General features: G+C 37.6%; 1 protein-coding gene across 11 annotated transcripts in view, besides 2 other annotated features; it reads left to right on the top strand.

Moving 5' to 3' along the window:
* Positions 4,245 to 4,414: an enhancer, noted in NCBI's record as "experimental_2736 CRE fragment used in MPRA reporter constructs". NCBI's record gives its function as "activates a minimal promoter by MPRAs in K562 erythroleukemia cells, with activity observed for both the introgressed and non-introgressed 1:210108196 variant alleles {active_cell/tissue: K562}" and the evidence as "EXISTENCE:reporter gene assay evidence [ECO:0000049][PMID:34662402]".
* Positions 7,143 to 7,437: a silencer, noted in NCBI's record as "tiled region #13960; HepG2 Repressive DNase unmatched - State 10:DNaseD, and K562 Repressive non-DNase unmatched - State 8:EnhW". NCBI's record gives its function as "represses a minimal TATA promoter and a strong SV40 promoter by Sharpr-MPRA in HepG2 and K562 cells {active_cell/tissue: HepG2 | K562}" and the evidence as "EXISTENCE:reporter gene assay evidence [ECO:0000049][PMID:27701403]".
* SYT14 (synaptotagmin 14) overlaps positions 7,696 to 27,802 on the top strand; it is a 233,173-nt gene continuing 213,066 nt past the window's right edge. For 5 of the 11 annotated variants that reach the window (NM_001146261.4, NM_001146264.4, NM_001397544.1 and 2 more), the window contains exons 1-2: positions 7,696 to 7,756; positions 22,188 to 22,235. In NM_001146261.4, coding sequence (NP_001139733.1) covers positions 7,730 to 7,756; positions 22,188 to 22,235 — 75 coding nt within the window. In that variant the 5' untranslated portion in view covers positions 7,696 to 7,729. Of the gene's footprint in view, positions 7,757 to 22,185; positions 22,236 to 22,533; positions 22,739 to 27,802 lie in introns of those variants that run through there. The other 6 variants (NR_027459.3, NM_001397545.1, NM_001256006.3 and 3 more) reach the window with 3 other exon arrangements.

Here is a 27,802-nt window from a genome sequence, read left to right on the forward strand (position 1 = left end):
CCCTGCCCCAGCCTCCCAAGTAGCTGGGACTACAGGCACGCACCACCACATCTGGCTAATTTTTGTATTTTTTATAGAGGCACAGTTTCACCATATTGGCCAGGCTGGTCTTGAACTCTTGACCTCCAGTGACCCGCCGCTTCAGCCTCCCAAAGTGCTGGGACTACAGGCATTAGCCACCGCACCCGGCTGCTCCCTTCTTTTCTAATATCCAGTTTGTCATTGAAATCTCTGATCCCAGTTTGAACCTCAGTTTTTCAGAGTTAAGTTATTTATTTTAATTTTTCTTTTTACCCTTTCTTTTAAAAAATCTCTGCTTTAAGAATCTTCACTATTCTTGATGTTCTAAAATTCCATTCCATGGGATGTGTCTCAATGTGGGTTTTCGTTCATTCATCTTGCTTGGCTCTCGCAGGGTTCTTTCCATCTAAAGTCCAGGGCCTTTCTTTAGATCAGAGAAATAGTTTTGCATTGTTTCTTTAACTGTTTGCACTCCAGATCCTCTCTTCTTTCCATCTGGAACTCTTATTGGCTAAACTCTAGACTTTCAGAATTGATCTTCAATGAATTTTATTTTTTTCTCCTATTTTCCATTCACCTGTCTTTTGTCTCTTCTAGTTTTTTCTTTTTCCTTTTACAAACAGATTTTTTGAAGCATAATTGACAAACAATAAATTGCATATGTTTTAAGTATATGAATTGATCAGTTTTGACATAGAAATACACTCATGACACCATTACCACAATCAAGATAAGACATCAGTCAGCCCCCAAAACTCCCTTCTGTCCCTTTGTAATCTCTCCCTCCTGCCCCTTCCTAGACCACTTTATCTCTTTCCTCCCAGGCAACCACTGATTTACTGCCTGTCACTATAGATTATGTAGTTTGTATATTTTAGACTTTTATATGAATGGAATCATAGAGTATGTATTCATTTTTCTCCCTGGCTTTTTTTCATTCAGCATAATTATTTTGAGGTTCATCCACGATGTTGTGTGCATCGACAGTTTATTCCTTTTAATTACTGGTTATTACTTCATTATATAGATATGCCACAGTTTGTTTATTCATTCACTTATGATGAACATTTGGGTTGTTTCCAGTTTTTGGCAACTTCAAATAATGCTGCTATGAACACTCAGGTACAAGTCTTTGTATGGACATATGCTTTCTTCCTTTTTTTTTTTGAGATGGAATCTTGCTGTGTCGCCCAGGCTGGAGTGCAGTGGCGTGATCACGGCTCACTGTAGCCTCTGCCTCCCAGGCTCAAGCCATCCTCCCACCTCAGCCTCCTGAACAGCTGGGACCACAGGCACGTGCCAACACCCCCGGCTAATCTTTTGTATTTCTTGTTGTAAAGTCAGGGTTTCACTATGTTGCCCAGGCTGGTCTCAAACTCCTGAGCTCAAGCAATCCACCTGCCTCAGCCTTCCAAAGTGATGGGATTACAGGTGTGAGCCACTGAGCCCAACCTCTCCTAGGTCTTTTACAAATGTCTAAAGATCCTTTATTTAAGAACTTATATTTTAAAATAAAGGACAAGGTGGAATAATACATGTAGTTAGTATATCAAAATATAGAGGGCTTTATGTCAGGGTGCCAACACTAGGAGCCTTACCTCTTTCTAGAAAGATGTTCAATTTATTTACAATTCTCTGATTCTATACTACAAATTTCACTTCTTTCTGGCAGTTATCCATACATTTGGGTTTGAGAAAAATAGGGGAGGCTGGATTGAACTAGCTATCCATTGATAGGCTTTTTTTTTTTTTTTTTTTTTTTTTTGAGATGGAGTCTCGCTCTGTTGCCCAGGCTGGAGTGCAGTGGCATGATCTCAGTTCACTGCAACCTCCGCCTCCCGGGTTCAAGCGATTCTCCTGCCTCAGCTTCCTGAGTAGCTGGGACTAAAGGTGCGTGCCACCATGCCCGGCTAATTTTTGTACTTTTAGTAGAGACGGTGTTTCACCATGTTGGCCAGGATGGTCTCAGTCTCTTGACCTTGTGATCTGCCCGCCTGGGCCTCCCAAAGTTCTAGGATTACAGGCATGAGCCACTGCGCCCGCCCCACTGATAGGCTTTTAATTAAGTTCCCTTACTTCTACTCTAGAATCTGCTTTTCCACTTCATTTCTATCCACTTCAAGCCCAAGGTCCCTGGTGCTTTATTGGGAAAGACAGCTTTCATCATTGCTCTGGCATTCTTCTATGAGTTCTGGGCTGACATTTCTCTCTATTGATATATCCATTGCAGCTAAAGTTTTCCCTCTAGAAAGTTGTTAAAAGTCTGTGATCAACTAATGCACATGCATCTCCCTTTCACCACTATTATCTGAAGATTTTAACATAAGAATAAAATGCTCAGGTATGTATTTTGGAAATGCAGTGTATAATATTGATAGAATTGAAGAAGATAAATTTGCACAAGGTAATCATATGTGGAATAAAGGGAAAGACAGTCAAAGTAGGAAGATAATCTAGGAATTTATTGTAAAAATCTGGAAAAGAGATGATGAGGGCATCCATTAGGAAAAGGAGATAAAAGTAGGGTTTTGATTATACACATATGGTGGAATCTACAGATTTAATGACCTTTTGAGAGTGAGGAATACAAATAATTCTAAGTCATTCTAATTTGGACGACTTAGTGGATTGTGGTATCAATAACTTGGGTGGTGAATAAAGAAAGAGGAATAATTTTTTTTAAAAAGACAATGTAGTGAGTTTGATTAAGAAGTAGGTTGAGCATAACAGGTGGAAATTACCAGGAGGCAACTGAAAGTAATAGTCTGATATTTAAAAGGTTTAGAAATGGATCCCAGTGGAAATGTTATGCAAACATTACAAAGGACAATGTAGTTGTTACATTTTAGATTGAGAGTTTGAAATTTAGTAGCCTCTTGAACAATGGTGAATTCAGTTGGATTAATATTTAACAATATAGACATAAACTCAATCAAGTGTATTTTGGTTGGGTGAGGAGTGTGGGTGGAGAAGAAAACAAACATGGCTTAGCATCTAGCACAGGAGTACATTTCCCCTCTGTAAATTCATAACAATCAGATGCAGTTAACAGAAACTAGTAGAAGTAGCAGGTACCCTAACTGCTTTATCTCATATTTTCTATATCACCTTTTCTACTGAAAGCTAAGCAAGGTCGGGTGCGGTGGCTCACACCTGTAATCCCAGCACTTTGGGAGGCTGAGGCAGGTGGATCACTTGAGGTCAGGAGTTTGAGACCAGCCTGGCCAACATTGTGAAGCCCCACCTCCACTAAAAATACAAAATTAGCAGAGTGCATGCCTGTAATCCCAGCTGCTTGGGATGCTAGACAGAAGAATCGCTTGAACCTGGGAGGTGGAGGTTACAGTGAGCCAAGATCATGCCACTGCACTCCAGCCTGGGCAACAGAGTGAGACTCTGTCTCAAACAAACAAACAAAAAAAACTAAGCTAAATATTTATGCATGGAGTTTTAGGAGACAAACTGGATTACTTAAGTACTTATTATCAAGAGTTCATTTAATCAGTTTTTTAGTATTTTAAAAATTCAGTATCTTCATGAAATGAAAACTTTACCATAGCAATTGAAACATGAATTGTGCTTGGAGTCTCACAATGTACTTCCAGTCCTTAATATATCATTTACAATTCAAAATTGTACTCTTACAAGTCATTCTATAATTGATTTTATAGTCTATCTTTCTGAATCCTTAAAAAATGTTCCATAATTCCTTTAGTAAATTGCTCCATGTTAAAATAGAAAACACTAATAAACTTTCTGTCAGATTATGGCATGTTATACCATGTTAAACTATTAAGTTTTTTCCCTTTCCTTCATAACAGTAAGTAAATACTTAAGCAAAGAGAAATTCTGTATTAGGAAATGATGATTAGGAAGATGATAATGAGAAATACTATTTTACATAAAGAGTTTTCAATAATCCATTTTTAGCTTCTCTTTATCACAATCATCAATGGCTATTTTATCCAATTTTTGTGTAGATGTATGCATCAGAGTTTAAGAACTACAATTATAAAGGATACATGACACCAAGCCTGTTATAATTTATTCATTTAACAACAATTTATTGAGCACCTATTTTTATACAAAGAACAATGTTTGACAGCATTGTATTTGAACAGTGTAAGCAATAAAAGATCTTAGTGACCCTCATAGACTCTCTGGTCTGATCAAGCCCATTATTTTACCTCCTTTTTCTAAATGATGCCCTAATCATCTCTTTTCCAGATTATCCTAAATTATCTTTTGCTTTGACTCTCCTTCCTCTATTCCACACATCATTACCCTGTCCAAATTTGCAATTATATAAACCAAGAAGAGTTGAATAATGTTTTTGCAGCAGAAGACCATTTTCTCATCTAACTCAATTTATTCTAGGTGTAAAATTCAATTTCTTTCCTGTATATATATATTCTTTAGGGCTTCTAAAAGTTGCTTCCGCTTTCTACATGATAGGTGGCTGTATTTACTGGTGGGTGACATATTTATGTCATGTAAAAGGTGTGTGGCACACTTTTTGACCTCTGAGTGAAAGTCACTATATAAATGTCACTTGTCATTATCATGGGAACACTCAGCTGTGAAAAAAGGTTTTAAATATAGTCAAGTACTGTTACCTAGAACAAAATAATAACTTCTTTGTTGTGAATAAGAACACTTAGTTACAGTAGCCTGTATCCTACTAAGCATGTACTTGTTGATCATTTTGTGTTAAATTGGTCTATATGTTTAAAAGTTCTGTTCACTCCTACGAGCTGACAGGCCAGTATCGTGCTGTGTTATTATTCTTTTGAAAAACCTCTGTGTACTGCTCTATGCAGCTAGCCAATAGCAATAACTTCAGTGAGCAATAAGAAAATTATAGCAGATTATACAGGAATAATATCATAGTTACAGAGGAAAAGGAAGTGTAGTTGGCCCTTCTGTCTGAATGAAACGCTTAGAAGATACCATGGAAGGAAAGCACAGGATAATAAATTAGTGTCCGTGCTATTTGCTTACTTCTTTCTTTTCTTTGCTAGAGCTTGTGTTACTTCTAAAGCTTTAGGTGGCAGGAAAAAAACTACCATTTGATCTAAGTGAACAAAAATAATTCTAGAATATTTCATGTTAGTTTTTCCCTGTTATAACTGTGCTATCTATAGTAGAGTAAATGACAACTCTTGAGGAAAATATTTGCTGGAGGAAATGGAAGAGAAAACAAAATTATTCTGATTTCTGGTTATTTTTTTCCATCTCCATCTTTAACTACCTCCACACAGCATGATGGATATATTTCTTAACAGTGTCAGGTCATTAGATAGAATTGCCAAACATGGGAAATTGCTGCTATTCTTTTCCCACTACAGACATTACAGTTTATCTCACCAAGTGCTCATTAAATAATCTTCTTTCTTAGTTCCTGGCTGAACACTACCATGCCATTTCTGTAGCTCTAAGTCTATGCTGTTTGATATGGCAGACAATAGCCACAAGTGGCTTTTTAAACTTTAAACTGAATAAAATTAAATAAAGCTAAAAATTCAGTTCCTCAGTTGCACTCCCTACGTTTAAAGTGCTCAATAGTCACAGGTGGCTACGGGCCACTGTATTGGACAGCACAAATACAGAGTGTTTTAATAGTTGCGGACAATTCTTTTGGATAGCTCTGCTGTAAGGGAACTGCAGGGAAGTACGATGAAAGGCAAGTGCTTGCAAAAGAGTTAGAAGGTAGACAAGAGGTGGATGTCTAGACAGTACAGTACCTTTGTAGTTACTACTTAACTCATTTATCCCTGAGGTTGCAATTTTTAGAATTTTTGCAATCAGACCTTGGCGATGACCTTGAGCAGCAGGATGTAAACAACTCCCGCGTGCTTAGCGTTCCAATAATGGAACACTAGGCATAAGTTAAGTTCTTTCTGTCCAACAACCTCCTTCTAGGAACTATCTTCCTTCTTCCCCAGTTCATCCACATGAGTCTCCTGGACAAATAAGTCTCCTGGACAAATAGTAGCGATGTTAATCTAGGTTATGGAAACTCACATAATCTGGTTATTTACTTAGTAACTATGTAATTGGTGAGGAAAGGATGAATACATTTTTCGGGCTTTCAATATGAAATTCTTTAAAAGTTTGAACAATTGGGTTACTCAGAACTAGCCAGAAACCACAACTTACAACTGTGGTGTCAAGTTCAGATCAATGTCTTGGAGTTCAAGACTGTTTTAAGGGAGGCTGCCTGGGGAAAATGTCATTAAACATTTTACCCGAATCCTCTAGATGTCCATCATAAACTCTCTCATGGAGCTTTCCTAAAGTATAGGCATTTTAATGTTTCCTGAGTAAAACAGTATTTTCTTTGATCCTTCAATAACAATTCTTGCTTGTAGCCAGTTTTCAGCACAGTGCCGGCTTCACAGATACTCACTGAACTAAAGAAAATGGTAAAGGATGAATGTCTATTGAGCATAAAATGCGACTGAGGGAGAGGTTATATAAAAGCAATGGAAGACAGTTTCTGCTCTAGATTTACAGTCCAACCTTACTTACATAAGTGTAAAATATTTTCTTCTTTGTTTCAGTCCCTAATATAGCTATTTTGCTCTAGGAATTAGCATTTCCTCCACAAGAGAGAATCACTAAACTCCCTATTTCTCAATGTTGTTTATGCCGTTGATTGTCCAGGTTCTCAAATTACTAAATGAAGTTGAGAGTTGGGTAAATGGTTGAGCGGTTCAAGTATCTTAAGTAAAAACTAAGTGGCCAATTGTTGTTGTGCTCAGGGTTGGCCTGGGACTGTTCACAATGGTCACAGGTTTACAAATTTTTAAAAACCTGCGTGTGACATGCTTTCCAGGTCCTTTGTCAAAACGTCCGTCTGACCCTGACTTTTGTGTGGCTTCAAATGTGCGTTTGCAATGTGTAGACAAATTCCAACTCAGAGTTCCAAGAGGTAAGCCAAGCTCTGTGTGGCAGCAAGGCTTATCAAGAGCGAGGCTAAGGGGTGAAGTGAGTGTGTGTGTGTGTGTGTGTGTGAGAGAGAGAGAGAGAGAGAGAGAGAGAGACCACTGCTGTGCTCAGGATTCCTCTCTCCTTTTTGCTTTTTGCCAACTAGCTGTTTCTCCACAGCGGAGATCTGAGACGAGTATGTGGCTGATTCGGGCAAAACAAAACAAAATAAAACCAAACGAAACCAAAACAGACTTACTATTACCAAATCTGAGAGTCAGTGGGTGGGAATCCTTTTCAACCAAGGAGACCTGTCCATGGTCCTGACCACATCATTTGCCACTCGCCTCCTTCATGGACACCGTTTGCTCCAAGTACCGGACGGGAGGGCGCCCGGCGCCAGGAAGCTTGGGCTTGGGCCCCCACACGAGCTCGGCGCGCTTCGGGCGGGTCTCGGGCGCGGGCCCGTGGCTCTCCGGGCCGGGCACCTGTTTCGAATCGAGGCGCGAGGCGCGGTGGGGCGGTGGGGTGGGGTGGGGTAGGTTGGGGTGGGGGCGGGGTGGCGTCACGTGCCAGCGGCGGCCCCGGGAAGGTTCCATTTCTTCCGCGGCCCGCACTCGCGGCGCTCGGGGCCCCTCCCTCGCCCCGCCCGCGGCGCCCCTCGCGGCCGCACAGCCGGGCGACTCCGGGCCGGGCCCCGCCCCTCTCGCTGGCGGACTCAGCGCGTCCTCCGCCAGCCCTCGCGTCTGCTGCCCCCGCCATCCAGTTGGTGCGGTCCATGGCGAGCGCATCATGGCGATTGAAGGTAAGTGGAGGCTGACAGCGGGGAGCGAGGACCGGGACCACCCAGCTGGCGGGGGGCTCGGAGGTGCGCCGGCAGGCCGAGGCGCTGACGGGGCCGCCTCCTGTGGTCTGGAGCCGGCTGAAGACGCGCGGGGGTCCTGGCCGCGTCTCGGGAGGCGGGTGGGCGGAGCGGCGCCGCTGGGACGCCGGGCCCGACTGGCTCGCTCGCCCCGGCCTTCGTGGTTTTGCCGGCCTCCCGGCGGCCGCACGCGGGGCAAAGCGGGCTGGCGGGCAGGTACAGCGTCCGGGCCGCCGCCTCCTGCCGGCCGCGCGGAGTGGAGGTCGGGGTGAGGCCCTGCAGACCCCACGGGACGGGCTGGGAGGAGCGAGGGGCCACGGGGGGCTCAGGCTGCCCTTTCTTTTCTTTCCCCGGCCGCGGCAAACCATCCTTCCGCAATACCCACCTTCCTGCCAAACTGAGAGTCCAGTTTTTTGTCCCATTCCTAACCCTTCCCTGTGCCCGCTCGGGCTGATGCTGGGTTACACTCTCTGCCCGTTCCCCTTCTGTTTGCTGTTGTAGGGGGTCCAGGAAATTTGGGGTTAGGTTAATTTCCTCCTCAAGTGGTTTTGTTCCCCGCCAACACTCAAAACTGTTTTTCTCCATGAAAAGAAGTAAATAACGTCTTTACAACAAGCACACATTCTTAGAATCCTGCAAATACCAGTCTATGAAGTGTTATAGTGCCACAATGCTCATATTTCGAAAAACAGCTTAATAAAAATTAAGTTCCTAGATAAGGTAGTTGACACTAAAGTGTATTTTTCTCTTGTTCCAGAAACATGTAACTGGGACCAAGTGTCTATATTTTGCCTTGTTTTTAAGGAAGAGATTGTGAGAATTAATTTCACACGTCTAGGATATTTATGTGAAAGATTACATCTTCCAGGCCCTGTCTCTTAGATTAACTCAAACAGTGAAAGTAATTTGTAAATTTTCCCTGTGTGTGTATATTCATCTGTGCAGCTGTGCAAGGTACCTATAGCTATATCATTATTTCTCTACATTGAAAGTGTGTTCCTAAGTAAAACTTTTTAAAGCGTTTCCCTTCTAAGTGATCAATCACTGGTAGTATGCATCTCTGGGGACTTCTTTTTGTCGGATCATGTGGACTCCAAAGTAGAGTTAGCTGTGTGTTTACATGTAGCTTATTTATTTAAGAGAGGGAGTACCTATTGTATGCAAGACACATTCAGACAGTTTCAAATGTCTGCTTGAGTTAAAATGGTGGGGAATAAGATCTACCTATAATCTATGATGTTCCTGTTATCTGCAGCAGTACTTTCAACATTTGTTTCCCTCACTGTCCTTTTACCAAAGGTTAAAAATCAAGAAACCAAACCCACTGATTTATGTTGTGTACTTTATTTTCCCAACTAGTTTGTGGTAGAGTTTCTTGTGAAGCCGTGAAACTCTACCACACTACCACACTACCACACCACGTGAAAGTAGAAAGGTTTAGGCAGAGCATGAGGAAAATCCTTCAGGCAGATGCCATTCGGATATGATGCTATAACTTGTAATTTCTTAAAATCTTTTCAGTTTTTTCCGTTTTTTCTTAGTTCTTCCTTTCTTTCTACTGGCAGTTAAGTGTTACTGATTCATTTTCCATGTCACCTGATGGCATTTTACTCTGCCTACTGCTTAACATGTTTGAAGAATAAGATTTTTTAAATCCTCACATTCTAGAGATTCTTCTGTGTTTGAGATACTCTCATAAATATTTTCATACTGAAGCATTTGCTTAAGTTTTCATAATACAAAGATCAGGAATTATATCTTTTCTAGTTTGGCAAAGAAACTGTAATTAATATTAGCACTTCAGATAAAGATGGCAGTTCGAATTAGCCTAACTGTGCTCCTTATCACATAGTAAAATAGATTCATTATGCACACCCTTCCTAGGCTGTGTTATGAAGTAGAATGAGTTCTGCATGAGACTCTGTACTAAGGACATCTTAAAAATTTAGGGGCCCAAAAGGGCGTCTCATCTTTTCAGTAAAGTGTTTCTTAAAACATTCAGTTTCTTCATTCACCTATTAATTCAGTAGACCTTTTTTTTTTTTGTACAATAGCTGTATACAATGTTCATTGCTAGATTCCATGGGGCCAAAAAGATAAGTAAGACTATAACCCTTCTCTCAAAGAGTTCATGTTCTATTCGGAGAGACAGATAATTTTAAACATGCAATTACAGTGTAGTGTGAATGCTAAGAGATGGATCATCTTTCCTTTGTATAAAAACATTCAATGATGATGGGTCTAACACTGTTTTTTGGCAGTAATTCTTATATTCATAAGGTCTTTGTATTTGGCCGAATATCTGCCATTCAGTAACGTCTGTCTACCCATCCTAGTTTTGCTTTCTGTAGCAATAAATTAAAAGCCCACTATTCTCTCTATATATGATATCCCTTCTGCCATTTGAAGACAGCTCTAGAGTGTTTTCTAGATAAAATATCCACTTCCCTCCTCTGGATGATCTGTAGTTGTATGTTTTAAAATTTGGAATATAGTAGTGGGCCATTTCATTCCAGTTATACTGTTGAATAGCATACATCAAAACTGTTATACCACTCCTTCACTTATGTGTAATCCTATTAATATAGCTTAACATTAGAATAGGTTTTTTTGGAGCTTCATGTTGGCACAGAGCGAGGCTGTAATCAACTAAAACCACAGTCTCTTTTAGCTTGACTACTCCCTTGCTTAGCTAACCAATGTTTTGAACTGAACAGATCGTTTATATCTGTTAAGCATACTCTTATTAGCTATGGCCCAGTGTTTTAGCCCTTGAGTCTAGACTTTTAAGTACTAAGGATTGTTTTCATTTTCTTCTCTGTGTAAACCTATTTTATAACACAAAATTATTTCTACTAAGTAATCATTCATTTCCTCCTTTTATCAGTCAGATGTGTAACTATTAATCAAAAAAAGAGACAAATATAAGATGATAGAGTTACCACATGGAGCTAACATAATTCCAGTCAGCAGTAAAGAAGTTAGGCTATATTAGGCAAAGTTACAATTTTTGAAAGGCATTTTGAAATATTGACAATAGTTACACATCCTTACTGTTGGCCCAGTGATCTGGCAATACCAGGTTGGGAATCATTGTTGTAGCCTAGCCTATGAAGTGATGTAATTGCTATCCAGCATATTAATTCTTCTAGTGTTGGCCTCTGTTAATCTGATAGCGTTGACACTTTTTTGTTGTATTTGAAATTTCCTCCTCTCTTGATTACATATTTCTCAGTTTTGTCTTAATTTACCTGACCTAATGTTCTAGTGGCTTCCATTCTTGACCCTGTTGCCATTGTCTGCTTTATACACATTGCCGTAATTGCACGCATTGAACAATTTAGTAATCACTTATTTACAAATTTGTTTCTCCTGTCCGACTGTAAATTTCTAGAGGTTAATGTCTTATTCATTTTTGTACCCCTTAGGTTTTGTATAGTACCTGAATACAGTTGTCCCTTGGTAACCGTGGGGGAGATTGGTTCCAGGTCCCCTGGAGACACTAAAATTTAAGAATGATCAAGTTCTTTATATCATATGGCATAATATTTGCATATAACTTATGCACATCCTCCCATATACTTTAAATCATCTCCAGTCTACTTGTAATACCTACTATAATGTAAATGCTATGTAAATAGTTCTTTAGGGAATAATGACAAGAAAAAAAGTCTGTACATATTCAGTACACATACAACCACTGTAGGCCTAACTACGTTTTCCATGCACGGTTAGTTAAATCCATAGATGCTGAACCTGTGGATATGGGGGGCCAATTGTATTTTGTATGATCTCAAGCCAAGTTTCTATGCATTGTTTCGTGGAATTCTGAACATCGTCATCATAAATTATGCCATTGTCCAGAAGCGTATTTCTAACACAGAATTTTCCTGACTTATATTTCCAAATAGTAGCTAGATACTTTCACATGGATGTCCTCGGCAATCCAAAATGTTAAGCTTAGGATATTCAGAATGTCCCAAAGTTGTCATCACAGCCACCAAATCCAGCCTCCATGCAAATTTACCCCCCCCCCCCCGCTCTGTTGTGCAGATTTACCATCTGAGAGGCATTTTTAAGTAACCAGGAATCTGAGTTAAAAACCTGGACAACAACCTTGCATTATAGTTCACCTCCCACATCTGTTGATAACTAAGTCCTGCCAAGTCTACAATTCAAATCAATTTGTGCTGCTTGGTGTCTTCACTTTAGTTTATGCCCTTATCGCTCATTAAGAGACTTGCATTAATTTCCTAAGTAGTCTCATTTCCAGTGTTAAGTTTCCTTCCAATTCATTTTCCAAGTTAGTGCTAGTTATCTTCATATTGCAAAATGCAAATCTGAGTTTCTTAAAACCTCAAGATAAGGCTGGTCCTTAATGATCTAACTTCCTTCCTTCATCCGGTCCACATTTTTCTTTCTCTTCCATAAGGGTATCAGAAGACTCTGCAAACTGTTTTGCCAAAGTAAAAAATAAACACTTGTTACGTTGCTGTATTAACTTTACTTAACTTCTCTGGGTAACATTTTTTAAAAATGTAGAATAAGGTTAAACTAGTGAGAATCTATGTGTGTGTTTGTATATGTGTGTGTGTGTATATAGTGCATTTACTTCTATTAATAATGTACCTTATAGTTTGCTACATACATATATTGTATTTTTAAAATAATGAGAAGAATACTGAGATGTTCTTTAAGGTTTCTTTTGGCTCTAAGATTTCTAAGGCAAAATTTAGACTTTCAAAAGCCATTTGAAATATTCAGTTAAAAAACCCAATAGATTTACTTTTGAATAATTTACAGTTTATTCAAGGTTACTTTTCTAACCGACTACACAAAATTAGAAACACTTAGCGAACATTAGAGACACAGTGGTATTTTATTTTTTGTTGTTTTAAGGTTGTATTAGAATGCAGCAGTGTACTTTGGTAGGCCGAGGCGGGCAGATCAGTTGAAGTCAGGAGTTTTGAGACCAGCCTGGCCAACATGGTGAAACCTTGTCTCTACTAAAAATACAAAACTTAGCTGGGTGTAGTGGCGCATACCTGTAGTCCCAGCTACTGGGGAGGCTGAGGCAGGAGAATCACCTAAACCCGGGAACCCGGGAGACTGAGCAGTGAGTCAAGATCGTGCCACTGCACTTCAGCCTGGACAACAGAGCGAGATTCAATCTCAAAAAAAAAAAAAAAAAAAAAAAAAAAAAGAGAATGCAGCAGTGCATGCCAATGGGGAAAGCAGAGAGAACCATATACTGGCTTAATTTATACAATTTGTTATTTGTTGAGTAATACTATTTGCATTATCAGTTTATTTGAAAATATTATGTTCGCACATAGTATATGTGTGGTAGTATAATAGATTGTTTTCATGAATTTTATTTCCATTTAGCTGACTTTATTCTTTTATTCTTTTCCTCTGAATCCTAGTCGATTACTACCTAATATGAAAGTGCTTACATATGAATAATGTAAGAATGAACAAACTACTATATATAAAACATTTCACGCTTTTGAGTAAAATGATTATATGCATATTTTGTATGTATATATAGTAATAGCTAAATTGGAACCTATCAAATTAGAACCCTTGATTTACCATTTTTTTAGAAGGGGGAAATAGTGACAACTCAGGAAGCTGTTATTAGGAGTTTATGAACAAATTTCTAAGAGCCACACATATATTCAGAACAATTTCTTATTTTCACATTTTTAGGACTATATTAGAATTGGTATTCAAGATATTATTTTGAGTCATCATGAGATAGAAGTTTTAATGAATATTAAATTATCTTCAGTATTCTGAACTTAATGCAGTAATGCATATTAGTAGCTTTAAAAAATGATCTGGTGCAGAAGTAAAAAAAAGGTTTTGTTTTATTGTCAGTTGACTAGAAAATTCACTTAAGTAGAATTTTTTGTGAGCACATACTTAAGGTTTTATTGTGTTACGTTAATGAGCATCTGGCAGTCAAAAACGTAATTGACTAAACGGATTGAATTAAAGAGTAGCTCAAAAGTTGGAAAAAAGGATTAATTTGTGAACAGTAATTTAATTTTATAAGATAAAATTTATACCTCTTAGAAAAGACTATTGAATAAATTCATAGGAACTTATGTGGATCAAATGAGATACCATATTTAGCATGCTTTGTAAATTATAAAGTGCTCTGAGATATTGTTGTCAATAAGATCTAGTTTATTTTATGTGATGCTGGAGGGGTAGTATGTGTTTCAAAGTGTAGGCTGCTATTTAGTAGAAATATCATAGATGAAATGAGTTTGTAAAAGTATAGAAAGGACTTGACTTTTTCAGACTATTTTAATTCTACAGTAATTGCATAGCAACAGCAAAAAGTAAAGGAATTCCAATTTGGGAGGATAACTCCCAGAGGGTTGGAGGCCTGAAGTTTTTTGTTTTTTTTTTCCCTCTCTTTTTTAAAGAAAAAATTCAAAAAAGAGGACAGGTTAAGAAGTATGAGAAAGTTAAACATTTATTTTGGAATATTTACATGGGAGAATGCTTGAAATTCAATGATAACTGTAGAAGAGAAGAAAACATCTCCAGAGCCTGAATTTCTTTGAATTTTATGTTCTACTTGGTGAAGAATGCAAAGGGAATTAACCTTTTTTGGGTGCTTGCCATGGGCCAGGCAACATATATTCATTTTCTCAATCATGAATAGCACTGCTTCTCCCTCTCTTGTCTGCAGCAGACATCTGTTTTATTAAGACATCTTTTTTCCTGCCAGTTGTGGACTTGGTTTCAGAATCCTTGGCAACCCTACCCTCCACCCCCACTCCAGCAGCTACTCCCAATCCATCAGAATTAGTATACAAGATGAAAGCTATTTTCTGTCCTGAGGTTATTATTACTATTTTATAAATTACTTTAGCTATTATTTTTACTTACTCCAAAGGTTAAGTAACAAGCACAGGTTTGCAAAGACAGTACTAGGTGACGCTGAGTTTAGAATTGAAGTCTGACTCAATTCAGAAGCAATGATCTTTATGTAACACTGTGTTTTAAATTGGTGACCAAAATTGGTATTATTCCTTGAATGGTCTAATTAGGGACAAAACTAAAAGATGTCTAGAGGGTAGTGACGATGGTCTAAGTGGATTAAATTGGTTGGGGGGAGTTGCATTAGTAGTTTCATGCTTACGATGTACAGTGTAGGTGTCTGCATAAGGATTAGCTATAAAAGAGTTTATAAATGTAAGCTAGGTGATCATTTAAAGGCTCTGACTAATGCATGTGCTTTGGAGAAGAATCTTTAGATGAGATGGAATTTAAGACATTTCTAAAGTAGCCTTTCAGTGTTTGACCAAGAAGAAATAAGTAGAACCTGTAAATTGTGGTGATTTAGGCTAATGATCAGAATAAACATGGTAGACAAAAAAATACAGTTGATTTTGAAAAGGACTCTTAGATCCATTTTAAAGGAACTAAATTTTGAGGTTTAATTCCATTTTTGTGTACAGGCATACCTCCTTGCACTTCATTTTGTTGTAAATTCACAAATTTGCATTTTTTACAAATTGAAAGTTTGTGGCAACTCTGTTGAATGAATCTATTGGCACAATTTTTTCAACAGCATGTGCTCACCTTGTGTCTCTGTGTCACGTTTTGGTAATTCTTGTTATATTTGAAACTTTTTCATTATTGTTATATTTGTTATGATGATCTGTGATCAGTGATCTTTGATGCTACTATTGTAATTGTTTTGGGCGCTACGAGCCATGCCAATATAAGATGGCAAACTTAGTTGATAAATGTTGTGTGTGTTCTGATTGTTCCACCAATCAGTTATTCCCTCAGTCTCTCTTCCTTTCCTTAGGCTTCCCTATTCCCTGAGACACAACAATTAATAACCCTACAAATGTTCAATGAAAGGAAGAGTCACATGTCTCTCACTTTAAATCAAAAGCTAGAAATGATTAATCCTAGTGAGGAAGGCATGTTAAAAGCTGAGACTGGCCAAAAGCTAGGCCTTTTGTGCCAGTAGGTGAAGTTGTGAATGCAAAGGAAAAGTTCTTGAAGGAAATTAACAGTGCTACCTGCTGTAGTGAACACATGAGTGACAGGAAGGCTTAACAGCCTTATTGCTGATATGGAGAAGTTTGAGTGGTCTGGATGGCAGATCAAACCAGCCACCACATTCTCTAAAGCCAAAGCCTAATCCAGAGTAAGTCCCTCACTCTCTTCAATTCTGTGAATGCTGAGAGAAGTGAAGAAGCTGCAGAAGAAAAGTTGGAGGCCAGCAGAGGTTAGTTCATAAGGTTTAGAAAGAAGCTATCTCCATAACATAAAAGTGTGAGGTGAAGCAGCAAGTGCTGATAGAGAAGCTGTAGCAGGTTATCCATAAGATCTAGCTGAGATCATTGATGAAGGTGGCTACACTAAACAACAGATTTTTGTTGTAGGTGAAACAGCCTGTTAGAAGAGGATGCCATCTAAGAGTTTCATAGCTAGAGGGGAGAAGTCAATGCCTGGCTTCAAAGCTTCAAAGGACAGGCTGACTCTCTTGTTAGGGGCTGATGCATCTGGTGACTTTAAGTGGAAGCCAGTGCCCATTGACGATTCTGAAAATCCTTGGGTTCTTAAGGATGCTAAATGTGCTCTGTGTGTGCTCTACAAATAGAAAACAGAGCCTAAAATTTTGGGGTTTTAAATGACAGAACATCTGTTTACAGCATGGTTTATTGAATATTTTGAGTCTGCTGTTGAGTCCTACTCAGAAAAAAGATGCCTTTCAAAATGTTACTGCTCATTGACAAGGCATCTGCTCACCCAGGAGCTCTGATGGAGACGTACAAGGAGATGAAGGTTGTTTTCATGCCTGCTAATACAACATTTATTCTGCAGCTCATGGATCAAGGATTAATTAAGACTTTCAAGCTTTATTATTTAGGAAATATATTGTGTAAGGCTGTAGCTGCCATAGATAGTGATTCCTTTGATGGACCTGGCAAAGTAAATTGAAAACTTTCTGGAAAGGATTAATCATTCTAGATGCCATTAAGAACATTTGTGATTCATTAGAGGAGGCCAAAATATCAACATTAATAGGAGTTTGGGAGAAGTTGATTCCAACTATCATGGATGACTTTGAAAGGCTCAAGACTTAAGTGGGGGAAGTCACTACAGATGAGGTGGAACTAGCAAGAGAACTAGAATTAGAAGTGGAGCCTGAATATGTGACTACATTGCTGAAATCTCATGATAAAACTTGAACGGATGAGGAGTTGCTTATATGGATGAACAAAGTGGTTTCTTGAGGTGAAATATACTACTGGTGAAGCTGCTATGAACATTGTTGGAATGACAAAGGGTTTAGAATATTATATACACTTAGTTGATAAAGAAACTGTAGGGTTTGAGAGGACTGACTCCAGTTTTTAAAGTTCTACTGTGGGTAAAATGCTATCAAACAGCATTGCATGCTACAGAGAAATCTTCCATGAAAGAAAGAATCCATCAGTGTGGTAAACTTCATTGTCTAATTTTAAGAAATTGCCACAGCCACCCCAACCTTCATCATCCATTATCCTAATGGGTTCACAATCATTAACATCAAGGCGAGACCCTTCGCCAGCAAAAAGATAGGACTTGCTGAAGGCCTAGACAATCAATAATTTTTTTAGCAATAAATTATTTTTAAATTAAGATCATACATTTTTTAAGATACAATGATATTGCACACTTAATAGACTACAGTCTAGTGTAAACATAACTTTTGTATGCACTGGGAATCCAAAAAGTTTATGTGACTTGTTTTATTGCGATATACACTTTATTGCAGTGGTTGGGAGTCAAACCTGTCGATATCTCTGAGGTATACCTGTACCTGGATGTATTTCGATGGGGCTGCCATGTAACTACATATTTTCCTTCTGTAAACATGTGTAAACATGTACATATGTTGTAATGATCCTCTTGTGTATTTTTTTAAAATCCCAGTTTCCAGTTACAGTCACACTTATGTGTATATTCATACACAAACACACATGCACACAATCACAGCACACGTGTGTGCCCACACACATCTATTTTCTCTTACACCCCTTATGCCAATTGTAGAGGATTATGCCAGTTTGCATTTTGCTCCTGCATGGGTTTGCCTGAGGGAAAAGATGGTAACTTTGACTAAGCTTGTCACTTTCTATCTGTTTCTCCTTTCCATGTTGCTGAGATGATTATTTCAAAAGCAATGCTAGTATTATCTCCGCAAGTATAGTTTTTATGCAGTTCTATTTAAATTACCTTAAAGGATTGGAAAACAATTTCGTAACTTTCATAAAAATGAGGAAAAATCAATATTTACTTTCCAAAATACATTAAATATAATGTTCTATTTTTTTTTCTGACAATTAACTAGTGACCTTGAGCAACTTTAACTTTTGGGCGTCTCCATTTATCTATAAAATTATGAACTAGACAAATGTAGTTCTGAGTTCTAGTGTCTCCTGTTCTGTCATTCTAATATGGTGTCCCAGTCTTCATTTTCTTGAATAAAATTTGATGTGTGGAAAATTGTATTTATACAGGAGTTCATTTTGGGGGTGATTATTTATTTTAGTGGAAGATTAGTCTCTTCCCAAAGATACTGGCTAAGTGACCAAGTAAGCATTCCCTCTTGTGCGTTACACTGTTAAAAGCAGTACACCACTTTTTGGATAACCACCACATCTAAGTCAAGGTATGTCTGCAGTGTTTTTCTTGCCTCCTGATTACAAATTTAACATTTCTTTTGGAAACTTTTCAGATTTACTTTTCAAGACAAAATAGACATAAAATTTGTACAAAGTTCAACATATCTCTAACTGAAAAAGTATTTAAGCCTTTGACTTCCAAACAGACATATACATTAAAAAATTTACATTTAACCTGGAGAATGCATGTTTTTTTCCTTATACTCCTCCCAGTCTTAGGAAGGATTGGGGATAAAAGGAACACTAGGCTGGGCGTGGTGGCTCATGCCTGTAATCCTAGCACTATGGGAGGCCGAGGCGGGCGGATCATGAGGTCAAGAGATCGAGACCATCCTGGGCAACATAGTGAAACCCCGCCTCTACTAAAGATACAAAAGTTAGCTGGGCCTGGTGGCATGTGCCTGTAGTCCCAGCTACTCGGGAGGCTGAGGCAGGAGAATTGCTTGAACCCGGGAGGCAGAGGTTGCAGTGAGCTGAGATTGTGCCACTGCACTCCAGCCTGGCGACAGAGTGAGACTCCGTCTCAAAAAAAAAAAAAAACACTCAATTTCAGTTTCCAATAATGTAATAAATTTATATGACTTTTTAATATTTCTTCTTTTGTGTTTTTAAAAGCAGGGTTTTCTTGAATTTTATTTTATTGTCTGGAATGTATCCTTAGTATTCCTGTTCATTTTCATAAGAATAGTGATTGCTTTTGAGTTCCACATGTACATCAGTGAAGTCTTATTCGTTGGTTAGAATTTGGGGGACAAATACCAAGAAAGGTCATGCATAGTCTTATTTGCTTGTTTGACTTTTGTGGGTACTTGGACAAATTTGGCAGCTAATTGACTGTAAATTTGAAATATAGTGATTATTCGAGTAACTTAAAAAATTTAAGAGGTTCTTTTATATAATATAGATAAATTGAATGCTTTTAAAAGTGGGAATTGGCTTTCATTGTCATTCTGCAGTTCTGATAAATGTCTTAGAATGTAGTAGTTTTTATTGTTACTGTACATACTAAGCCTTGTAAAAATAATGCTGTTACAGTTAAGATTAGGTGTATGTGGTAAAACCTAATCAATTTATATTAAATACGGGGGAGAGTTTAGTTCTAATTACAGGCTTTAAAAAGTACAGCCTTTTTACGTGATTTAACTGTGTAACTCAAATTAAGTTACGTGTGTAACTTCTAGAGAATAAGCCTTAATATGTATGGAGAATATTTCTAAGTTACCTATGAAAACATCATAGGCCTCAATATATTAATACATTATAGTTATGTTATTTTTATTACATGACCCTTCTAATGTCTCAAAAATAGCTTTTTGTCATAATTTGGTAAATATCCAGTCATTGGACTAGTATCTCCTCAATTGGAAAGAACTGTAGTATGTAGGTGTATTTCATTCTAGCCTTTCAGCAAGTGATCTGTGGGTAATACTCCAGTTAGCACTCTATTTTTCACACTGGGGTTTTGCTGAATAATTCATTTATAACCATAGTTTTAAGTTAGGTGTTTCTTCTTGCAAAGCCTATCTTCCTGATAATCAGTGGTTATTCTGTATTTTTAATAAGAAAGAAGCAATGCCATTGTTACAACCAAGTCAGAATGAAGATCTAACCTACTTTGGTGATAGAAATACTATTTTCTAGTTTTTTTAGCTTGCTTCTCAGATGACCTACTTTTTTTAGTGGATATCATGGTTTTTACTTCTCATGTTATTTCTGTAGGATATTTCTGTTTCTTATAACCAAGCTGTTTGTAATAAGCTTCTATGCTAAACTGAAATGATTATTTAATATTTTCATTATGGAAAGTTTAAAAGTAATTCACAACATAATTATAAGGTCATACATATATGGTACACTACAAAATTTTATTCAGCTTACATTAAAGTAATGACATGATTCTGAGTGAAAGAAATATGTCTACATGGTAGTAACTAATAGAGAAAATTACTCTTATAATAAATTAGAATATTCAAAGTATGTATTTATGGGGTACAATGTGATGTTTTGATATATGGATACATTGTGAAATGATTAAATCAAGCCAATTAACATATCAGTCACTTCACCTTTTTTGTGGTGAGAACATTTAAGGTCTATTCTTGGATTAGCAATTTTGAAATATACAACACATTATTAATAACTGTAGTCACCATGCTGTGCAGCAGATCTCTAAAACTCCTCATCTATCTGAAACTTTGTACCCTTTGCAGTATCTCCCCTTTTCCTATCCTGCCCCTCTCCATTCCCTTCTTCTCTCCCACCTCTGGTAACCACCATTCTACTCTACATCTGTGAATCTGACTTTTGTAGATTCCACATACAAGTGAGATCATGCAGTATCTGTCCTTCTGTGTCTGCTTTCTTTCACTTAGCATAATGTCCTCCGGGTTCATCCATGTTGTTGCACATGACAGAATTTCCTTCTTTTTTTAGACTGCATAGTATTCCACCACATATATTTACCACATTTTCTTTATCCATTTCCACCATGTGCCATTATCTTTTAAAGTTAAACATGCACTTGCCCCATAAACCCAGCTGTTCTCCTCGGAATACATTTAGAAGAAAGGCACGCACAGCACACATGTGGGAAACAGAGACATATGTTATATAAAAAGGTTCATAGCAAAATTAGTCACAGCAAACCCAAATCAATCCAAATGTTTATGAACAATAGAATTGAAATTTATGCATATGTATGCATGAATATATGTGTATATATGTATATTTATACACAATGGAATTCTATATGGAAATGAAAAGGAATGAGCCACAACTACAAGTAATAAAATAGTTTGATCTTACCAACCTAATATTGAAAGAAGTAGGACTCAAAAATGCCCACTTAACAATTCCACTTGTATAAATTTTTTAAGCAGACAAAACCAAGCTGTAATGATAGCACTCAGGGGATTAGGTACTTCTGGGGCACAAAGTAGTGCCTAGGAAGATGAGTAAAGGGCTCCTGGAATGCCAGCAAAGTTCTGGTTCTTGCCTTGGTTTTTAGCAACTCGGGTGCTTACTTTGTGACAATTACATGAAAGTTTTATATATTAGTGCACTTTTCTGTATTTTTGGTTTTTGGCCCAATAAGTAGAGATTTTTTAAAAAAGAAACATTACGAAAGACTCTTTCCAAAAAAGAATAATCAAAATATTTTTTAAAGTTAAGTTTGTTTTTATCATACTATTAAATTTGTTTTACAAATTTATAATAGTGGGTTGTTGGAGAATATATAATGTGAGCATATATGATAAAATATAAATAGTAACTTTACAGGATTGACCTTTCAATAACTTAACCTGTGTATGTTAAGGCTCAGATACAAAAGTGGGTCCTCTCTTACAGTCTTTCCTTCTAGACGATGTGAAGAGATGCTTGGGAAATATTGATGTGATTTCTGCTGTTGAGAAGCTTGCCATTCAAAATCACATACTTGAATGAAGTGTCTTCATTCCGAGACTTCCTAAGACCTAATTTCTGGGTTGTTCCAGAAAATTCTGATATTAGGCTATAATATTCATTTAGTTAAGTATAAAGAGAAGAGTTAGGGAAACTTTTTTTGAGGTCACTTTTAGGTGCTAATTTAAAATGATTCTTTGTAACAGTCAGATTCATGCTACTTTCTATGTTTTTAACTTCCCATAAACTTTTTTTAATAGGTGGAGAGAGAACCTGTGGAGTACATGAACTTATCTGTATTAGAAAAGGTAAGTCATTGCTCTGCATGGCTATTTACATACTAAATGAATACTTCCAAAGTGTATAATAGATTTTAGTAGGATGGCGGATAATTTGTATTTATGAAGTGTAAATTTTAGTAAATATTAACATTTGTCTTACAGACTTAAGCATTAGTAAAGTGCATATTACTTATTATGTGATTATTGAGAGTTGTTGCTTTATATTTAGTTTTGATGGGCTAATAAAGCCTGGTTTCTAGCATATTGGTTGTTAGACATGGTGAAGAGGCAAAGAATGGAGGGTTTGATTTTTGTTCCCTTTCAGAATCTGGAATCTGAGTGCATGCTGATCTCCCATTGACTTCTGTTCTATTACTGTACCCCATCAGAGAGATGTGAGGAGTTGGTTGAAATTCAAATCGGGAACATATCCAAAGACCACAACATCCTTTGACACCAACAACTGTCTATGCTTCCTTAGAAGGAGCCACCTGACAACTGGGTGGTTCAACAAAGTGGCCCCAGGAAAGGTAATTCAGTTACTAGGTGGGAGGCAAGGAATCAGGTATTCTCTAGATTTGGAAGAATCAGGAGAACCTTGGGAGTCCCCACAACTCCTTATAAGTAATCACAAATCTATGAAATCATATGAAGGAAAGATATTCCTGGGGAGGTCAGGGGAAGAAATCCTCATAAATTTACTACTCTTGTCTCTTTTTAAACTTGGGGCACTTTCTTTTCTTGCATCTCTCTTCAGACTCACTTGCCCCTCCTGAGTCTAGCCAACTAACAGCACTCCTCCCATCCCTAATATTTCACTTTAAGGAAGTTTGGAGCAGTGTCATTATTTGTGATACCTGGGTATGAGAGGCATGGCAGGAAAATATCAGCATGTTTTCAGTAAGTCTTTAACAGCTCTGAAAAGCCTCAGCTTCTTTAGACTTGAAAAAATTTTTAATCCTTTTTAGGTGAATTTATGTGACTATTGTTGACATGGTCATACTAGTTTATCTGTGAGTCATTGCATACAATTGCTGTTCATTTAAAATCTTCTTCCTTTATTAAAGTATAGTTTTTCCATATACCTTTCCTCTAGTACCACAAAGGAGGAAATTGAAGTCAGTTTCATGAAATCTCAAATTTAGGATTGTGATTCTCATGCTATAACTATTGTTGATTTGTGCTTCTTACCTAAAATGGAGGTAGGGGATAGACAAATTTATGCATTGTTTTATTTCTCTACATAAACATTTGTAGTTTTCTGCTGTATACATAAATCCAGAATTACTAAAAATGTTTGAAATAATTTTATAGTTATTATCCAGTCCCACTAAAACTTTTTAAAACTTTTAATTTGCTGGGATAGCCAAAGACACAGTAAAGCTTAGTTGGAGTCAAAAGCTATTAAAGGTGTGGTCAGGTGAAAAGAGAATCAAAACAAGAGTAGAGACAGCTAGAAGCAAGAAAAGGAAAATGTTTAGAGGGTCTTTTGTGGCTACAAAGGGAGCAGAAAGCTACAATGGAGAAAATTAGATAAGGATAGAGGATGGTGTGAATATATCTTTTTTTTTCATGGCTTTTTTATTGTTGTTGTTCTTTATTGCTGTCTCTATTCCTATCCGGGTAGTTCTCAAAGTATGCTTTGCCCAGATTTCTCTATATTAGTCTAGCTTTTTTGCTGTCTTCCGTTTATCTACAGAATTTTAATTCTGCATTTAAAAATTTATTCACACCATAGGCATGAAGTGGAAAAGTATCTGAATCTCTGTTTATCCTCTCAGCATTCAGTACAGTGAATATTTCATAAGTATTTGAATATTTTTGGAATTAATGCTCTGAGCTAAAGCTTTTTGCATTTTATCCTAGACTTCCATAGAGTAGATCATATGAAAGTTATGTAGAGTAATTATAATTAGTATCAATGATTATTCTAATGAAATGACATCTCTGACATCACAACCTCCTTTATTCTTTCTCTCTTTTTTTTTTTTTTCCAGAGACAGATTCTCACTGTCTCCCAGGCTGGAATGCAGTGGTACGATCTTGGCCCACTGCAACCTCTGCCTCCTGGGTTCAAGCTATTCTCATGCCTCAGCCTCCCAAGTAGCTGGGATTACAGGCGCATGCCACCATGCCCGGCTAATTTTTCTATTTTTAGTAGAGATAGGGTTTCACCATGTTGGCCAGGCTGGTCTCGAATTCGTGGCCTCAAGTGATATGTCCACCTCGGCCTCCCCAAATTCTGGGATTACCACCATGAGCCACCGCACTCGGCTAGACATCACAACTTCTTTTTACCTCTTTGACTGTTTCTGTCTCTTTTGCTAGCCTCTCTCCCCTGTCAGACCTCTGATTATATCATGTACCAGGGGTTTGGTCCTGGGCTTACTTCGTTTTTCCATCTTTTACTCTGTTTGATTTTATCTAGTTCTGTTGTTTTAAATGCCACACAAATTTATAAATCCAGTTCTTGGCTGTCTGAGCTCCCTCATCTTTTATCAAATGAGTTACTTGATGTTTCTATCTGGATGTCTGTTACAATAACAACTTGACACGTTTAAAATGCAAGTCTTGATTTTCTTACCTGAGCCTATACCTTCCTCAGTTTTCTCCATCTCAGCTAATAAATAGCACTGTCTACCCAGTTACGCAACTCCTAACTTAAGAATCATCCTGTATTTCCCCATTATTATTGTCCACATTTAATTTATTAGTAAGTTCAATCAGTTCTACCTGCAAAGTATATTTTTTAATTTATCCTCTTTTTTTTCATCCTGCTGCTGTCATTGTAGTCTAGTTCTCTGTGTTTTTTCCTAGATCACTGTCATAGTTTTCTAACTGGTTTCCCTACTTGGCATTTTTATCTCCTTTCACTAAGTATTAGTGATTTTCAAAAATGTAAATCAGGCCAACCACTTTGCTTGTTGAAATTTTTCTATGGATTCTCATTATACCTCAAATAAAAGTATCTTACCCTGATCTACAAAGACATTATAGTATCAACTCGGAGTCCAAAATGTCATCTGAATATCATCAGTTCAAAAGTCTCATTATCTAAATCACTTACATTATGTATGGGTGAGACTCTGGGTGTAATCCATTGTGGTTCAAAATTCCTTTCTATCTGTGGACCTGTGAAAATAGAAACCAAGTTACCCTCCTATGCATTTCTTCAAATCTCATTTCCCTAAGTTGTGTTTCAATTTTGGTTAAGTCAGTTTTCAGAACTTACATTTTTATAATCAATATTGTTTGCAGTAAAGCCATATTATATCATAATTATATTTCCTTTTTTATATAGTTTTCATCTTAAAATATCCCTTCTTTCAGATTGTAAGCACCCATCTTAACTCCTCATTAACCATGGTTCAGAATCCACTTTGATTTCTCTGTCATTCTTATTTTTCTTCTGCTACCACCCTTCCCGCTATATTGAAGTATACGTCTCCTATATCATATATCCCTAGAAAAGATTTTTCTGCTTCCCTAGGAAATAATTAGTCAATATATTGTATTACTCAAGGTACTGTTAGCTGCTGCACTGAACAAACCCCAAATAATGACTCAAACAGGATAGAGGTTTTTTTCTCTCTTTTGTGAAGTTTAAATCAGGTATTTCTAGTTGCCATAGAACACTCCTTCAGCAGTGATTTAGGGATCCAGGCTCCTAGCTTGTGGCTCTGGCATCTTCAGCACATGGCTTTGGAGGTTACTATGTTCATCTTCATTAAGCAGGGAGTGTGGGGGAAAAAAAGGGGAAAGGAAGATTGTGTGTAGGAGATTTTTATGGGATAGGCCTGGAAGGAAAGTACATTCCTTAAGATTACCATGTCAATAATTCAGTCACAGGGCTACATCTATAGTAACTTCAAAACAGGCTAGGAAGTGTTAGTGAGTCAGTGAGCCCAAGAAGTACAGCAACCTATAGTCTGCCATTTATCAATTAATCTACCCTAATATGAAGTGCTTTCCTTGCCATAGTCTTACATGCTCTATATATGCTAATGGTGACCATCTGGATAAATTTCTTCTAGAGGCAGGTATATAACTTAAAGGTGTGACTTCAGTGAGAAAATTTAAGGCTAGGTAGAAGGGGAAATTCATATGGAAAGATGTAATAGGGTTGTTTTGTTTTGTTTTGTTTTGGAGGGGAAGGGGTTGTGAATCCTCTGATTTTGTGATTGTCTTTTTTGTCTCTTAGGACCCTACACCCTTTTTTTTTCATTTCCCCTTCACCACCCGATTGCTGAAGGGCCTTTTCCCTTCTGCCTTTTTTTCTTCTGCAGAAGCTATGTACAAAGACTGCCTAACTACCCTGTTAAGTTATGCTTGAAACTAACTTATGCTGACTGAGTTATGCTGAAAGTAACTCACATGTACTTTCAGAGTTCCTTCCCTGTAGGCTGTGCTGTCATCTACCCAGTTTTGTTATTGCCGTTGTTAGTATTTTCAGATTTAACATGGACTTTCCTTTCTAACTTTAGCCCCCATTGCTGTCTTCTCTCTTCTCTCTCTCTCGTAGCTTTTCTCTTCCTTTGTTTACACCAAAGCCTTTCCCTTTTGTTTGGGTGGGGTGGGAGCACGAGAGATTGCACCTTATGATTTGGTAAGTTTTCTGTTTTTACTGATGTTTATTTTGAGATATTAGCATTCTCTGTATTCAGATTATTCTGAGGATATAGTTTTTATGTGGCTTTACTTTTTTTCTTTTTTTTTGAGACAGTCTCGCTCTTGTCACCCAGGCTGGAGTGCAATGGCGTGATCTCGGCTCGCTGCAATCTCCACCTCCTGGGTTCAGGGGATTCTCCTGCCTCAGCCTCCCAAGTAGCTGGGATTACAGGCATGCACCACCATGCCCGGCTAATTTTTGTATTTTTAGTAGAGACTGGGTTTCACCATGTTGGCTGGGCTTGTCTTGAACTCCCTACTTCAGGTGATCTACCCACTTCAGCCTCCCAAAGTGCTGGGATTACAGGCGTGAACCACCCTGCCCAGCCTGTAGATTTTTTCCTTCTTGTTTTGTAGATTTACTTTTTCCTTCTTGTTGTATCCAGTTTTGGGGAGGTAAAACTGGGAGACATGGAGTTAGGCAGATTCCATTTTTTTCAGATACTCAGAAATGTCTATGGTATGTTCATGAACAAAAATTTTAATGTTAATTTAGTCTAACTTCTTAATATTTTTTCTTTTCATTCTTTTCTCTTTCTCCCCCTCCTTCCTTCTTTCTCTCTGTCTTTCTAGTGCTTTTTGAGCTGTTTTGGGGAAATCCTTCCTTAACCCTAAGATCATAGCAATTCCGTTACTTTAAGAGATTTAGTCTTGCTTTTCATATTTATGTTATTAATCCATCTGAAATTGATTTTTTATATGGTTAAGAACCTAATTTCATTTTTTTAATGGTTAAGTAGTAGTTCCAGCACAATTTACTAAGTATTCCAAACATTTCCCACTGAAATGCAGTGCCACCTCTGCTACCTCTGTCAAGTTTTTATCAAGTTGGTCTATTTCTGTTCCATTAATCAATGTACCTATTCCCTAACAGTGTCACTATCTTAATTATTGAAGTGTTGTGATTCTTGTTATCTATTAGGACA

This window comes from Homo sapiens, chromosome 1, assembly GCF_000001405.40.
Source record: "Homo sapiens chromosome 1, GRCh38.p14 Primary Assembly".
Lineage (NCBI taxonomy): Eukaryota > Metazoa > Chordata > Mammalia > Primates > Hominidae > Homo > Homo sapiens.